At 47.0% G+C, this 16,231-nt stretch overlaps 1 protein-coding gene across 17 annotated transcripts in view, besides 1 other annotated feature; it reads right to left on the bottom strand.

Moving 5' to 3' along the window:
• Positions 141–16,231, bottom strand: part of IL6R (interleukin 6 receptor) — a 64,108-nt gene continuing 48,017 nt past the window's right edge. For 6 of the 17 annotated variants that reach the window (NM_001382771.1, NM_001382770.1, NM_000565.4 and 3 more), the window contains 2 exons: positions 15,010–15,103; positions 141–4,457 (listed from right to left, as the gene is read on the bottom strand). In NM_001382771.1, the coding sequence (NP_001369700.1) occupies positions 4,211–4,457; positions 15,010–15,103 (341 nt within the window). In that variant the 3' untranslated portion in view covers positions 141–4,210. Of the gene's footprint in view, positions 4,458–15,009; positions 15,104–15,419; positions 15,519–16,231 lie in introns of those variants that run through there. The other 11 variants (XM_017001199.2, NM_001382769.1, XM_047419648.1 and 8 more) reach the window with 4 other exon arrangements.
• Positions 4,125–4,626: an enhancer, noted in NCBI's record as "H3K4me1 hESC enhancer chr1:154437441-154437942 (GRCh37/hg19 assembly coordinates)". NCBI's record gives its function as "activates a minimal SCP1, AML or CMV promoter by ChIP-STARR-seq in primed H9 embryonic stem cells {active_cell/tissue: H9 hESC(primed)}" and the evidence as "EXISTENCE:reporter gene assay evidence [ECO:0000049][PMID:30033119]".

Genomic DNA, 16,231 nt, shown 5'->3' with positions numbered 1-16,231 from the left:
TCCTGCATTAAGGGGATACCCCCCCAAAAATGGTTCTACTTAATTATCCCCCCTTCCTCACTCCTTTCTCCTCATGAATCAGGCAAGCCTTTTTTTTTTAGATGACCCAGATGCCCAAAGCAATAATTACATTTCAAGGGTATTTTTTAAGAGTATTTATTCCAAACACAATGTTCACTTTAAATGCAAAATAGCTGGTAGAAAAAAAAACACTGAAAAATATACTGACCCTTTGCCCCATATACAGACATCAGCCTTTGGTATTTGCTTTCAGGTAATTAGGTAAAACAAACAAACAAAAACTTGAAACTATTATTTATCTCCAAGAAAACAACGTAGAGTTGAGGTATTCTATTTAACAGATGTGATCTCCATCCAATAAGGTCTCTCTGTTAATTAACAGCCTTGTGACATGCTGTTCCAATCCTTTCCTCCTAAAGTAGAATTTCATTTGAGCATATGTTCATAAAACTGACAGTGTTCCTTAATAATCACTAAGGTTGCCATAGAAACTCCCTGGTGCTGGTGCCCAGCCGCACGGAGGACAGGAGGCCTTCACAGGGCACTGAGGAGGGCCTGGCACGGACCCTGAACTGGCCCGCCTGCCCCTCCGTGTGCAGCCCCTGCCCACGGCTGCACGGGACAGCTGGGTGCAGGGCTCTTGCCTCAAAGGGTCACAGGTTGCCCCTGCATCTCCAAATTAAGACCACCAACTCCACCTGGAGCTGGTGTCAGCATCCTCCCCACCTGGGTTAGCCTTCTGGACGTGCTGTGAGATAATAGAGCTCAGCACCAAAGCAGCTGGGAAGACATTCCTGAACATTCTCCAGGAAACAAACCCATAGACCACAACATGCCCAGCCTGCCCCACTGGGCCCTGTTCACTACCAGGTGGGCTTCCAGCCTGGTTCCAGCAACAGATTCCACAACCTGCCGCGGCAACCAGTTTCCTTTCTCCCAAGACAGCAGGGAAGTGCCAGAGGCTCCGTGTGAACTCAGAGCCTGATAAAGAAAGCGTAAGGGCAAGTCCCCATCAGGGCCAAGAGCTCTCTGAGTTACCAAAGGCCTCGTCAACATAGCCAGTGCTACCCCTGGACACATTTCTTGAAAATATTTCATTAATGCTACAAACATTATTGATCATTTTACTTTAGGCCTTGAACCAGCATATTTTTTACTTTCCCCACCCAGCAGGATAAGCTGTCGTATTTAACCTAAATGGTCTCTGTCTCAGCGTTTCACGTCTGGCTGCGTGGCAGATGGCTACAGGTGTTAGGCAAATAACAGCACTGCTGGGGACTCAAGGCAGTGGGGGTGCTGCAGAAACACAGGTAGAAATGCCCCGTGCATTGAGACACATGTTCAGTCACCACAGATTAGAGAACATAGAGAGCTTAGGATGTATACCTGTGTACGCTGAGCCAGGCCTACAGCCCAGAGAAGACATTTTTTCTTCATTTACATTAGCTTATGAAAAATAAAGGGAAAACAACCCTCTTCAATACAAAAACAAAAAAACAAAACAAAGCAATTCCATTACAATAAAAATGAAAGCAATAACAATTTGGAGATCAAAGCTGCCTAGCTCTTGGCAATAATGAGCTATCTGGATTTCACATCTTCCGCTAGCATGGTTCTGCCCGGCTTTGGTAACACCACATGTGGGTAAAACGGTATAAAGAATTGAAGAACTGTGGGCACAGAATCACCCTTACTGCAGATTCTCATTCTTAATATTTCCCTTTAACAGCATTTTGCTGTTCTCAAGTCTCAGAAACTTTATGTGGTGGGATGGGAGGGAACCACCATAACCGCCTGCCTGCCTTTTTTTTTCTTAACTGTTATTGTTCATAATAGAGATGGTGTCTCACTATGTTACCCAGGTTGGTCTCAAACTCCTGAGCTCAAGCAATCCTCCCACCTTGGCCTCCCAAAGTGCTAGGATTACAGGCGTGAGCCACCGCGCCCGGCCATCCTGCCTTTTTGCCAACCTAAGATGAGTTGCCTCAAGCAGCAATAGGGTCTAAAATCTACAGACAAGCCCAGCAATGAAAATCACGGCTTACTGAAGACAGTAACAGCTTAAACCTGGAAAACCGTAAACAAAACATGGTCACTTTCATCCTTTCGCACCTGTCTGGTGATGGTGGTGGTTTTTCTAAGAGGGTAGAGTATTAGAAAAGTTTTGTGGTCTGGTAAATATTGGGTCCATGGTTACACGGCTGATTTAAATCATATCCCCACTCTGGAATACCCTGATAACTTGAGAGCTAACTGGGTAACCACTAACACCACTGAATTTTCAAAGCTCGGACAGAAAAGTCAGCTGAAGTGGTTAATCATGGTGTTACAACTAGACATTTAGTCCTGCTTCAATTCTTGCAGAGCTGAATCAACTCAAGGAACTAAATAAAAAGAGGAAGGCACCGAGGTAAGGGATTTTTTTTAAATGGGATTTTTTTAAAACCTCTTTGATAGCAGAAAGCTCAGGGCTTTCAGGGTGGGGAATTTCTAGGACCCTGCCGGGCAGTCGTGGGAGGCTTCCTTCTCGGCACTGGGACAGGGACCGGACACCCTCTCCATAACCACCTGGGGGAGTAGTCACACGCTGGTTTTTCCCTAGAGTAGAGAAGAGGCAGGCTATTTTTCCACTTTTTAAGACAAAAACAAAATACAGAATGAAACCACAATCTCTTCTCTAATAGGGAAAATATTTTTTCTTTTTCTTTTTCTTTTTTTGAGACAGGGTCTCACTTGCTCTGTCACCCAGGCTGGAGTGCAGTGGTGCAATCTCGGCTCACTGCAGCCTTGACCTCCCAGGCTCAAGAGATCCTCCCACCTCAGCCCCCCAAGTATCTGGGACTTCAGGCACACTCTACCACACTTGGCTAATTTTTATGCTTTTTGTAGAGATGGGGTTTTATCACATTGCCCAGGCTGATCTCAAACTTCTGGACTCAAGTGATCCTCCTGCCTCGACCTCCCGAAGTGCGTGGGCCACCATGCCTGGCAGGAAAATATTTTTTCTCTTCCTCCTTTTTCACTTGACTTGGTTTTGGGCTAAACAAAGTTATGGTGCTTCCCCCACACCTAAGTAAGTTACTTCTATGCTGACACAGCGAATATTGGATATTCCACCCTCTCAAGAGAAAACAGTCAGCAGTTTTTTAAAAACCAAGTTTAAACACATTCTTGCCAGGCTCATTTTTCTTTTCACATTGTCTTCCTTAATATTATCTTCCCTAGTTACCCAGGTTCAGCTGACAACAAACAAAGCTGCAGTAAAACCGTTTTGATCTCAGAAATGGCAGAAGCCCTCCCTGCTGCTAGCTCTCCTTTGTGGGAGGTGGAGAAGAGAGAACATTGGTTTTCAGAGGCTGTGATCCCCCACTCAGCTCCCACTCTACAGGGGATGGTAGAGACCCTGTGCCCCTCTCCTCTCCTTCCTCTGCTTCTCACCTGAGGTCCTGCAACCCAAAGCCAATGCAGTTGCCTCTGTATTCAGCAAATGCCTAGGATCATCATTCACATTTAGCAAAATGCTAATGAGGAACTAATTATAATTCTGTTGAAAACGACCAGGCCCTGAGATACTGTATTATTCACCCACTCACCCTCAGCTGTTTTTCAACTGTAGGGAAGAAAGGGAGGAGAGAGCTTCTTCCCCCAGCCTTGGCGGTTTAAGTAAAAGCCGTCCCCAGGCCTAGAAAAACAGAATTTGCTAAGGCACTTGGGTTTTAAGAGTTTGAGTTGGAAGATGAAACGATGCAGTGGGCCAGGAGCATGGCGGCTGGAGGAGGCTTTGGCTGGAAATCCATCCCACCTGCCTGAGGGTGCAGCTTGTGCAGAGGTGTTGAGGGGTGGGCTGCCAGCCGCTTCTCCACACCGAGGCCCCCACCAACCTGCCCAGCTTTTGAGTGTCCGTGTGAGTGTCCAAAGAGTCTTGATATGGTTCTCTTCACAGTGGCCCAAGTTCACTCTAGCCCCTTTAAGCTGGGCATTTGGAAAGGGAGGTTTGAAACCTCAACCAGCTGAACAGCTGGAGCAGGCTGATTTTCCCCTGGCGTAGAACCTTCCGCAAGGCTCTTCCGTGAAGCCAAAGGCCGCACACCCCTGAGATAAGCTGGCATGGCAGTGAGAAGCATCTTTTGCTGAGCCCGTTTGTGTTTTATCATCCACAGGGTCCAGGCTGCTGGTGCCACCCAGCCAGCTATCTGGGGAAGAAGTAGTCTGTATTGCTGATGTCATAAGGGCTCCGTGGGTCCCTGGCATCTGGTCGGTTGTGGCTCGAGGTATTGTCAGACCCCAGGCTGCTGGGGGACACCGGTGGGGAGATGAGAGGAACAAGCACTGGGGTGGGTCGAGGCCTCTCCGGGACCAGCTGCCCCAAAGAGTACGGCGGATGCATGCTTGTCTTGCCTTCCTTCAGAGCCCGCAGCTTCCACGTCTTCTTGAACCTTCACACAAACACACAAAGACAAACCACACAGATTTTTAGCTCCCCCTGTGACAAGCCCACAGTGGAAAACACCAACAGCTGGCTGCCCTGGTGGCCTGGCGCGCCCAGGTTTCGGCTCAAAGGAGCAATAACTATCAGCTGTCTTTTTGTTTTTTGTTCATTTGTTTGTTTTGAGACAGGATCTTGCTCTGTTACCCAGGCTGGAGTGCTATGGCGTGATCTCAGCTCACAGCAGCCTCAACCTCCTTGGGCTCAGGTGATTCTTCCACCTCAGCCTCCTGAGTAGCTGGGGCTACAGGTGTGTGCCACTACATCCGACTGATTTTTGTATTTCTCATAGAGACAGGGTTTTGCCATGTTGCTCAGGCTGGTCTTGAATTCCTGGGCTCGAGCAATCCGCCCGCCTCGGCCTCCCAAAGTGCTGGGATTACAGGTATGAGCCGGCACACCCGACCCGACTGTTTTTATCACCAGGGAGTTCACCATACTCTGAAGAGTTGGTGAGTTTCCAAAACACTCCCAAGGAAATAGATGTGTATTGTTGGTCCAATTTACAAGTGAAGAAACTGAGGCACCAAAAAGTCACTTAACAGTCCCTTAATTGTCCCATTGCAGAGGCTGTTCATTAGGTACACATCATCAGTCCCAAATCCATTTACTTAAAAAAAAGAAAAATAGGCTGGGCGCAGTGGCTCACGCCTGTAATCCCCACACATTGGGAGGCCGAGGCGGGCGGATCACCTGAGGTCAGGAGTTCAAGACCAGCCTGGCCAACGTGGTGAAACCCCGTCTCTACTAAAAATACAAAAATTAGCCAGGCGTAGTGGCAGGCACCTGTAATCCCAGATACTTGGGAGGCTGAGGCAGGAGAATCGCTTGAACACGGGAGGCAGAGGTTGCAGTGAGCTGAGATCGTGCCATTGCACTTCAGCCTGGGCAACAAGAGTGAAACTCTGTCTCAAAAATAAAAAAAAAGAAAAGGAAAGAAAATAAAAAAAGAAAGCATTCTTTTAGTAGGGAAAGAAAATGGGCCTCTCGGTCAAAGTAAGGCTGGCAGGAGGCAGATAATTTGCAACCGCCATGTAATAGCAGGAAAAGGGTCCCACTGCTCCCTCAACTGCCTTCCTGTTCCTCTTGCTCCTAATGTTGCTGACCTCCCCAGTTCTCCCTACGCCTCTCGGTCCACTCCCACCATGCTGGTGAGTTCCCACAGACTCAACTGTCGGCACCACTGGGCACAATTTGACTCATCTGACAGGAAAGTCAATGCTACACAGGAAGGAGATAGACATCTTTCTGATCACAGCTTGGTTCACAGTGCTCCACTCTGGGCCCAAAGCCAGGGCTCAGTAACTGAGAAAAGTCACTTGACAGCTCAAAGAAAGATGAAATGGTGACATGGATCTTCAAAAGCACAGTCACGTCCCCTTCCTAAAGGGGCCCTTCAACTGTGCCAGGGTGGCCAGTGCCCCAAGCCTCAGCCCCTCCCTCTTGCTTCCCACTTTGTGACTGACATGCCTCCTAACCCCAAAGTGGGAACAAGGTGGCCTCCCTCAATTCCATGGAAGATCAGTTACTCCAGGAAGGGCTGGGAAAGAGGAGGGGAAACCAATGTCAAAAACAAGATTTGGGGATTTTCCTTGGGTTTCTTTTTATATCGACAGGTTATTCCTGTCCTTGTTATGATAAATAATTAATAGTTGGCTCCAAATCTGCCACTGGCTTTTAGCTTGGTATCCAAATGAAATAAACAATCTGCAGAATATTATTTAGGGCTTCACCATGTGGACACCACACAGGAAGAGAGCCCAGCAGGGCTGCTGACTGGAGCTATGCTGAGTCATTGAATGGAGTTCTCCTGTAAGAAAGGACTGAGGAGAGAATCATTACACTCTGGATTTCAAAGAATTCAGACTCTCTGACCCAGGAATTCTACTTCTGGGAAAAGAAAGAACATAGCTATAAAAAAAAAAAAACCCTTTATGCACAAAGATGTTCAACACAGTGTTTTTTATAAAAGCAAAATAAGGCCGGGTGTGGTGGCTCATGCCTGTAATCCCAGCACTTTGGGAGGCCAAGGTGGGTGGATTACTTGAGGTCAGGAGTTCAAGACCAGCCTGGCCAATGTGGCAAAACCCTGTCTCTACTAAAAAAGAATTAGCCGGGTGTCGTGGCGCATGCCTGTAATCCCAGCTACTTGGGAGGCTGACGCAGGAGAATTGCTTGAACCCAGGAAGCAGAGGTTGCAGTGTGCTGAGATTGTGCCACTGCACTCCAGCCTGGGTGACAGAGTGATGTGTCTCAATAAATAAATAAATTAATTAATTAATTAAATAAAAGCAAAATAACACCCAAATAATTGGTAATGTTTGGGTGCCACCAATTAGGAGTAATAGGAGGTTGATTAAGAGAAATTGGTATATCCACCTAATACTACAGCTAATGAAAGTGAGATTTATGGCCAGGCACGGTGGCTCACGCCTGTAATCCCAGCACTTTGGGAGGCCTAGGCGGGCAGATAACGAGGTCAGGAGTTCGAGACCAGCCTGACCAACATTGTGAAACCCCACCTCTATTAAAAAATACAAAAATTAGCCAGGCATGGTAGCAGGCGCCTGTAATCCCAGCTACTCAGGAGACCGAGGCAGGAGAACTGCTTGAACCCAGGAGGCGGAGGCTGCAGTGAGCTGAGATCGCACCATTGCATTCCAGCCTGGGCAATAAGAATGAAACTCCGTCTCAAAAAAAAAAAAAAAAGTCTGAGATTTACAAGAATTTGTACTAATGTGAAAGAATGCCTGTGTTATAGTGCTAAGTGTGAAAGGCAGGATGCAGAGCTGAGGATACAGAATAATCATGGCTGTGTAAAAACAAACAAGAAACTAGGCAGAGGAAAAAGACTCAGGAGATTTGTCTAAATATTAAGTGTTCTTGATCTGGGTGTTGATTGTAAAACCATCTCCACAGGGTTGACAAAAATTGCATGCTGGGTTCTGGACAGAAATATATTAATAGTTATAATGAAGCAGTAATCAGGCTGCACTTTGGCCCATTTCCTTATTGCAAAAAGTCACGTAGCCCTAGACACTGACCATCTGCATCCCCGTTGTTTCTGTAGATAGGATTTCTGACATTAGGATCCTAAGACTTTTGTTTAAGGATCACTTAAGATGTTTTACGGACCCCTAATTCCGGCAACCAGTTTGAAGACCCTCACAGAGGAACGGGATTGGCATGAGAAGACAGCTTCTTCATCTCCTTGTCCCAGGACCTCACCCTACACCCTGCAACCAGTCAACCATCTCCACACTTTGGCCCAGTCCAACATTTTTACAACCCTAGCCCCAAATTCCTTGGGGAGATGGATTTGAGGTGTGGGCAGAGGATTACCTAGGTGCCGAGGCAAGACACTGAAGGCACAAACTGTTTCAGTATAATAAAGAAAATAGAATAAGAATAGTCATAATACAAATTAGATACAGAGATGATCATGAACAATTATCAATCATTATTATAAACATTATTAATCATTAGCTTTTAATATTACTCTTTGTTCCATTACTAATATAACCTAGGAATAACCGGCGGGTATAGGGTCAGGTGCTGAAGGGACATTGGGAGAAGTGACCTAGAAGGCAAGAGGTGAACCCTCTGTCATGCCGGCATAAGGGCCGCTGGAGCGCTCCTTGGTCAAGCGGTAACGCCAGTGTCTGGGAAGGCACCTGTTACTTAGCAGACCGGCAAAAGGGAGTCTCCTTTCCTTGGAGGAGTCAGGGAACACTGTCCTCCACCAGCTTCTTGTGGAAGGCTGGATATTATCCAGGCCTGCCCGCAGTCATCCAGAGGCCTAAACCCCTCCCTGTGGTGCTGTGCTTCAAGGGTCATGCTCCTTGTCCACTTTCATGCTCCTCCCGCACTCCTGGTTCCTCTTCGAAGCTCATAGTAGATAGCAGTAGAAGAAATAGTGAAAGTCTTAAAAGTCTTTGATCTTTCTTATAAGTGCAGAGAAGAAAACCCTGACATATGCTGCCTGCTCTCTGCTTCAGCTACCTAAAAGGGAAGGGCCCCCGATCCTGTAATCACATGACTTGCTTCACCTTGTCAATCACTTAGAAGATTTACCTTCCTTACCCTGCCTCCTCGTCTTGTATGCAAAAAATATCAGCGAGCCCAGACGTTCGGGGCCACTACCGGTCTCTGCATCTTGATAGTAGTGGTCCCGCAGGCCCAGGTGCTTTCTCTTTATCTCTTTGTCTTGTGTCTTTATTTATTACAATCTCTCGTCTCCACACACGGGGAGAACACCCGCTAAGCTCCGTACGGCTGGACCCTACAGAGGTTTCCTCCCATCTCCTCCTTTGGTGACCCTCTGATTAAACCTCTTTCTCTGCTGCAACCTGGTGTCTTGGCATCTTGACTTGCCACGTGCATCTCATTATAATGACATGGGTGTGTACACTTCATGGCGCTGTACACATGATGTGGGAACTTTTCTGTATGTTTGTTAGACTTCAATCACATTTACATTTTGAAAATTAACAGTGGCTCTCTTTGGATGACATATATTTTTTTCCATTTGTCATTATTTAGCAAATCACCAGTAATAATCACATATCACATACATATGTATGTGTGTATGTATATATTTTTTAAGTCCCTATTGACCTAATATGGAAGCAATCTCTGTCCTCAGTTTTTTTTTCAAAGTAACTGAATGGGTAACAAAGAAAGGTGAGCTTTCCTTTTGAAATATTCTAAGGCGAGTATGAATTCTTTTCTGAAAATCACTAAACTCAAAGAGGACTTTGAAACCAGCCAACCTGAGGGTGTCCAGAGCTGGCCTGGATGGGTGTGAGCAGGGCCTGGGGGCTGGAGAGGACACAGGGTGGGCAGAAAGAAGAAACAGATGAGCTCTCTGCTGCCTTCTTTTGCACCTTGACCTCCACCTTTTATCTATTTTACATATTTGGGCTTCAAAAAGTTTCATTTAAAGAAAAGATTCTGTAGCTAAAAGAAGTTTTTTAAAATGCTCAAAACTCTCACTCTTTTTTAGAAAGATATGTAGAAACCAAGTTGCCACCCCTTTTACCCCAAAGGCCACAGACAGTGCCCACTGCACCCAGCCACCTCCATGGCCCGGAACACCATGAAAGTCCCTCTGCCCGTCCCCCAGCTGTGGAGGTAGCAAAAGCTCTGATTTTAAAATACCGGAATGATACACTACATTCAAAACGAAATGATGTTTAAGTCATAGGCATACACATAGGAAGTCCTCACTTAATGATGTAAGCTCATTCTAGATAAATATGCAGAAAAATAATTCTCTACTAGGAGAATTCTATTTTCCCAGTGCCTGATAACCTAAAATACAGAGAATCAGTGGGGGACAGAGAATAGGGTGGGAGGAATTGGCCCCTGTAAGATGGCAAGCCTTTTCGATAGCATATTTAAATTTTAAAAAATCATCTATGATTCAGAAAAAAAGAATGAGTAATAAAAAACAAAGAAAAAAATCACTGATATTGCTGGAAAAAGATTTAGGGCCATACAAAAAAATATAGTATACACTGGCAGGATGAAGTCAACCTCTCACACTTCACCTACTGTAAATGTGGCCATCCCATGGTAACCATGGTTCAGCCATTTTGGCAGCCCAGAGCCCCACAGTATTTCTAAGTTTATACTCTTTGCTAGACAGAGGGGATTTGGGGAATAGAAGGCTTCTTCATCACTTGAAATAACTGGCCTCTTTCCAAACAAATTTGCCTTATACAGAAGAAAATGGAAACTCACTAGGCTAGAAAATAAATTCCTGGCATGTTCTCAGCACAGGGCACTGGCCCTGTCTGTGCCTGCAGGGACTCTGGTTGTTTAGCAACCAGCCAGTGTCCAAGCATCATCAGCAGAATAGCAAACCAGGTCTGTTCCCAACCTAATGCTCCTCTATTAGCCATTACAACACACCAAGATGGTGCTGCATGTTAAGGGCCAGTGGTGGGCCAATGGGACCAGCTGGGCCCAGCTCTTAGCCAATAGCAGGTGGGGACCATGGGCAGGGACTCTCAGGGTGTGTGTTCTTGCTTGTCCTTGGGCAAGTCATTTTACCTTTGGGGGCTGTTTCCTCATTTATAAAATGAAAGAGTTTGACTAGATGACCCTTAAGGCCCTATAGAAATAGCAGGAGTTTTTGGTTTGATTCTTGGCCTTCTTCTTCATCTTTTTTTTTTTTTTGAGATGGAGTCTCCTTCTGCTGCCCAGGCTGGAGTGCAGTGGCGCGATCTCGGCTCACTGCAACCTCTGCCTCCCGGGTTCAAGCGATTCTCCTACCTCAGCCTCCCAAGTAGCTGGGATTACAGGTGTGCACCACCATGCCCAGCTAATTTTTGTATTTTTAGTAGAGACAGGGTTTCTCCACGTTGGCCAGGCTGGTCTCGAACTCCTGACCTCAGGTGATCCACTTGCCTTGGCCTCCCAAAGTGCTGGGATCACAGGCGTGAGCCACCGCGCCTGGCCTATTCTTACTAGCTGTTATCGCACCATCTCTTTTAGCTTCAGTTTCCTCCCGTCAAATGTATATCATATCTACTCTACTCTATAGGGCCTGTGGTGGGTTATGAGAAAAGTCTGTTGAAGCCCTAACGTAGACACAGAGCCAGAACACAGGAGGGTATACCTAGGGTGAGGCAAGGAATCCTTTGGTAGGCAGGAGGTGAACCCGTGGATGCTGACATGGCCCCTCACTGGCCAAAAAATATAACAGGCTTTGCATCCTCCAAGGAGCTACCTCTACTCATTAAGAATCTTATCTTGCACGCACCCTTCAGACGGCTTGTAATCTACTTCATTGAAAAAGCAAAGTGAAGGCCGGGCACGGTGGCTCACGCCTGTAATCCCAGCACTTTGGGAGGCCAAGGCGGGTGGATCACGAGGTCAGGAGATCGAAACCATCCTGGCTAACACGGTGAAACCCCGTCTCTACTAAAAAAAAATACAAAAAATTAGCCAGGCGTGGTGGTGGGCGCCTGTAGTCCCACCTACTCGGGAGGCTGAGGCGGGAGAATGGCGTGAACCCGGGAGGCGGAGGTTGCAGTGAGCCAAGATCGCGCCACTGCACTCCAGCCTGGGCGACAAAGCGAGACTCCGTCTCAAAAAAAAAAAAAAAAAGAAAAAGAAAAAGAAAAAGAAAAAAAGTGAAAACAACCCTGAACCCAATTTGAGTAGTCATCTTGCTAATCTTTCAACCCACACCACACTTGGTAGTCAAGCTAGGTCAGGGCTACTGGCAGGGTCTGATGAGCTAACGTGTAGAAAGCTCTCTACATGTAGAAAGGACAGAGTGCAATGTCTCCTCCACTTGTAGATCATCGCGATTAACCACTGCCTAGAAGACCCAGCCTGACATCTTTTAGGGTTTCAGCTTATGAAAAAAAGCCGGTTCCTGCAGTAAAATTGTGAACACCGAAAAATTTCATTATTGCTTGTTCACTGAAGGCACTATTGGCTGACTTTTCTGCAGACTTGGAAATGAATGACAAAACCAATGACCAAATGGAGCGAAGATGATTGGGATGAAATGGGCATGATGAGACAGCAGCCAGGGTGCAACTCAGCCTGAATGAGTATTTCCTAACCATGGCTGGAAAAGAACACTAGGGCAGAGCATTTAAAGGTGACCTTTAAGTTCCTGGATTGATACATGGAATATTCCTAAGGAGGTCCTGCTTGGGCGCCTTGGATTTAACTGTGTGGTGCTTCTCCAATGTTACTTTCTTTCTTCTTTTCTTTTCTTTTTTTTTTTTTTTTTTTTTTGAGACGGAGTCTTGCTCTGTTGTCCAGGCTGGAGTGCAGTGGTGCAATCTTGGCTCACTGCAACCTCTGCCTCCTGGGTTCAAGCAATTCTCCTGCTTCAGCCTCCCAAGTAGCTGAGATTACAGGCATGTGCCACTATGCCCAGCTAATTTTTGTGTTTTTAGTAGAGACGGAGTTTCACCATGTTGGTCAGGCTGGTCTTGAACTCCTGACATGAAGTGATCCACCTGCCTCGGCCTCCCAAAGTGTTGGGATTACAGGCGTTAGCTACCATGAAAATACCTTCACATGGTATTTTCATCATTTGAGTATGTGGTTCTCGGAAGGGAGGAAAGGTCATATTCATGTTGTAATTCCAACACCTACTGTGTTTCTTCAGTGTCTAATGCACACTCCCTCCCTCTCGTTCTTACAACACCAGAATCTTGTGGTTCCTCTCAGCCCCTTTCCCAACACTTCCTTCTCTACAGAACTTTTCACCTTGGATCCCCACAGGGTTCAGCCCTATCCCCAACCCCCACCCAATGACTCTTATTGCCATCTACTTGCTGGTGACGATCTGTGTTGCCTGCCAAGCGTGTCCGCTTGAGGTTCTCGGGGCATCTCAAACTCAAGTGGGTCCCAAAGTGGAATCACCACTTTTCACTGAGACTTGTCTATCCTCAGGTGTTTCCAGTCTTAGTGAATGACAGTATCATCTGCCCAACTGCTGAAGCCAGAAATGGGAGGGTCATCCCGGACTCCTCCCTCTCCTTCATCCTCCTCATCTAATCTGTTGTCAAGCCTTGTCAATTCTACCTCTAAAATATATCTTGAGGCCGGGTGCAGTGGCTCACGCCTGTAATCCCAGCACTTTGGGAGGCGGAGGCGGGCGGATCATCTGAGGTCAGGAGATCAAGACCAGCCTGGCCAACATGATGAAATCCCATTTCTACTGAAAATACAAAAAATTAGCCGGGCGTAGTGACATTCACCTGCAATCCCAGCTACTCAGGAGGCTGAGGCACAAGAATCGCTTGAACCCGGGAGGCGGAAGTTGCAGTGAGCTGAGATTGCACCACTGCACTCCAGCCTGGGCAACAAAAGCGAAACTCCATCTCAAAAAAAAAAAAAAAAGAATCTATTCATGGCTCTCCAACCCATTGCCACCATCCTAAAACAGTTTATTATTATCTCTTGCCCAGACCCTGGGCTACTGCATCCATTTTCACTCACCCCATCCAGTCTCCAAACTGCATTGAGAGTGACTTTTTGGTTTTCTTTGTTTGAGATGAGTCTCATTCTGTCACCCAGGCTGGATTGCAGTGGCGCAATCTTGGCTCACTGCAACCTCCGCTTCCCAGGTTCAAGTGATTCTCCTGCCTCAGTTTCCCGAGTAGCTGGGATTACAGTCAAGCACTACCATGCCCAGCAAATTTTTGTATTTTTAGTAGAGACAGGGTTTTATCATTTTGGCCAGGCTGGTCTCGAACTCCTGACCTCAGGTGATCCACCTGCCTCAGCCTCCCAAAGTGATGGAATTACAAGCGTGAGCCACAGCGCCTGGCCCAGGTTCTTCTTAAAACTCCACAGGCTGGGCGCGGTGGCTCACGCCTGTAATCCCAGCACTTTGGGAGGCTGAGGCAGGCGGATCACGAGGTCAGGAGATCGAGACCATCCTGGCTGACACGGTGAAACCCTGTCTCTACTAAAAACACAAAATATTAGCCGGGCATGGTAGCGGGCACCTGTGGTCCCAGCTACTCAGGAGGCTGAGGCAGGAGAATGGTGTGAACCCAGAAGGTGGGGTTGCAGTGAGCTGAGATCGCACCACTGCACTCCAGCCTGGGCGACAGAGCAAGACTCTGTCTCAAAAAAAAAAAAAAAAGAAAAGAAAAGAAAGAGAAAGAAAAAGAAAAAGAAAAAAACTCCAACAGACACTCCTTAGCCTCAAGAGAAGGCCTAAAATCCTCCCACCTCTTTCAAGGCCTTTTATGACCTGGTGCCAGCCTACCTGTCCACTCTTCCTGCCCCATATTGCCCCAACCGTGCTGCGCCCCCTTCACAGACACGTGCATGCACACGCTGTCAACCATATTACATGCTGGGCTTCTCTCCTAAGAACCCTCTTTGGGCCGGGCATGGTAGTTCACACCTGTAATCCCAACACATTGGGAGGCCAAGGCAGGCGGATCACTTGACCCTGGGAGTTTGAGACCAGCCTGGGCAACATGAAACCTCATCTCAACAAAAAATAGAAAAATTAGCTAGGCAGGGTGGTGTGCACCTGCAGTCCCAGCTATTCCAGAGGCTGAGGTGGGAGGATCACTTGAACCTAGGAGGCAGAGGTTGTCCTGTGAGGCGAGATTGCACCACAGCACTCCAGCCTGGGTGACAGAGTGAGATGCTGACTCAAAAAAAAAGAACCCTCTTCTTTCTCAGACCAATTCCTCTTCCTCCTTAATGCCAGGTCAGTTCTCCTCACCATGGCATGCTTTTTGTAGCTCTTACCACAGTAGTGATTACCTCTTCGTGTCTGACTTCTTCCTGAGACTGTATCTGTCCTGCCCAGCATTGTCTCCTGCAGCACCTAAAACACGGCTTGGCATAATAGTAGGTGTTGTGTGTGTTGTGGTGTGTGCATTCATTTGATGAATGGATAAATGAATGAATAAATGCACCATAAATTTCAGAATGGGCAAAGGAAAGCTAGATAAGAAATATGAGAACACCACAGGGCCATCCCCTGGGACCCATCTCACCTCAGAACAATGGCAATGCAGAGGAGCGTTCCGAAGGCCAGGCTCCCTCCAGCAACCAGGAATGTGGGCAGTGGTACTGAAGAAGAATCTTGCACTAGGTTAAAAAAAAAATTGAAGATAGAGGAGGAAGAGGAGAATATGGAGAAAAAGGAATAGGAGGAGAAGAAAACCACTTAGCTGGTGCTGTCAAAAGCCTCAAAGGAACCTTCCCCTCCAACCCCCCTCCCAGAAAATGAAACAGCTCTGCCAACCAACAGGCCATTTGACAAGCTTAACTGTTTTTTGTTTGTTTGTTTGTTTGTTTCTTAACAAAGCCCACTCTAGATTCCAGGATTCCACCACTTGGCAAGAGAGACACCTCAAGCTCAGGGTTTCTGAGCGCCTGTGGCTAGCCACAGACTCCTACTCACTTTCAGAGTGGCTTTTCTGGTGACATTCCACCTGCTCCCACAAGGCACAAAGAGGGTACAACAAACGGAAGGCTTTGGGGACCTCCTTGATGGCAGTTCCTTTGAGGACAATGTCAGAGAGGATTGGATGCTTTAAATCAAGTGTTTGGAAGCAGTTTTCTCCATGGGGGTGTCATCTCTTGCCTGTCCCTGCATTTGGTACTCAAGCCCCAGCCATATGAACTTCATTCAGTTCTCCAACAAGCCATGATCTTTTTCCTCCAGGGCTCTCCACACACGTTCCCTCTTCTCTCCTGTCTGTTTTCTCTACCTTTGCTGCACCCTTTTGTGGTCTAGTCCCTACTTGGCCTTTGGATCTCAGATGAGGTGATGTCATTTCCTTTGAGAATTGACCCCACTCCAAGCTGAGCAAGTGCCCCTCCCAGTATTTCTCCATTTCCACCTCTAGACTGAGTTCCCTGAAGGCAGGGACCACATGTGTCTTTTTCACTGTAACACTGCCAGCAGCTTACACAGTGCCGAATACAAAGTAGGATCGCCAAAATATTTCTTTGAATGAAGGAAAGAACAAACCAGCTTTGCAAGCAGCCATGTCTTCCCACAGAAAGGCTCTTCCTACCACTGCCAGAGTCCCTGGACTAGACAGAGGGCACATCTAAACAAAACCATCTCCTTCTGCTGGGAATGCAGTCACAGTTGTATGGACCCAGCATTCAGGCTCTTCTACCCAAAATGCAATCCACTGCTGACGAAGAGGCTGCCTGCCAGCCATCACTTCAGATGCCTACTAGAGTCAGGCAGCGCAGAGAGCC

This window comes from Homo sapiens, chromosome 1 (genome assembly GCF_000001405.40).
Source record: "Homo sapiens chromosome 1, GRCh38.p14 Primary Assembly".
NCBI classification, from domain to species: domain Eukaryota; kingdom Metazoa; phylum Chordata; class Mammalia; order Primates; family Hominidae; genus Homo; species Homo sapiens.
The sequence above is the reverse complement of the archived record's forward strand: the minus strand, read 5'-3'. Positions and strand labels throughout refer to the sequence as shown.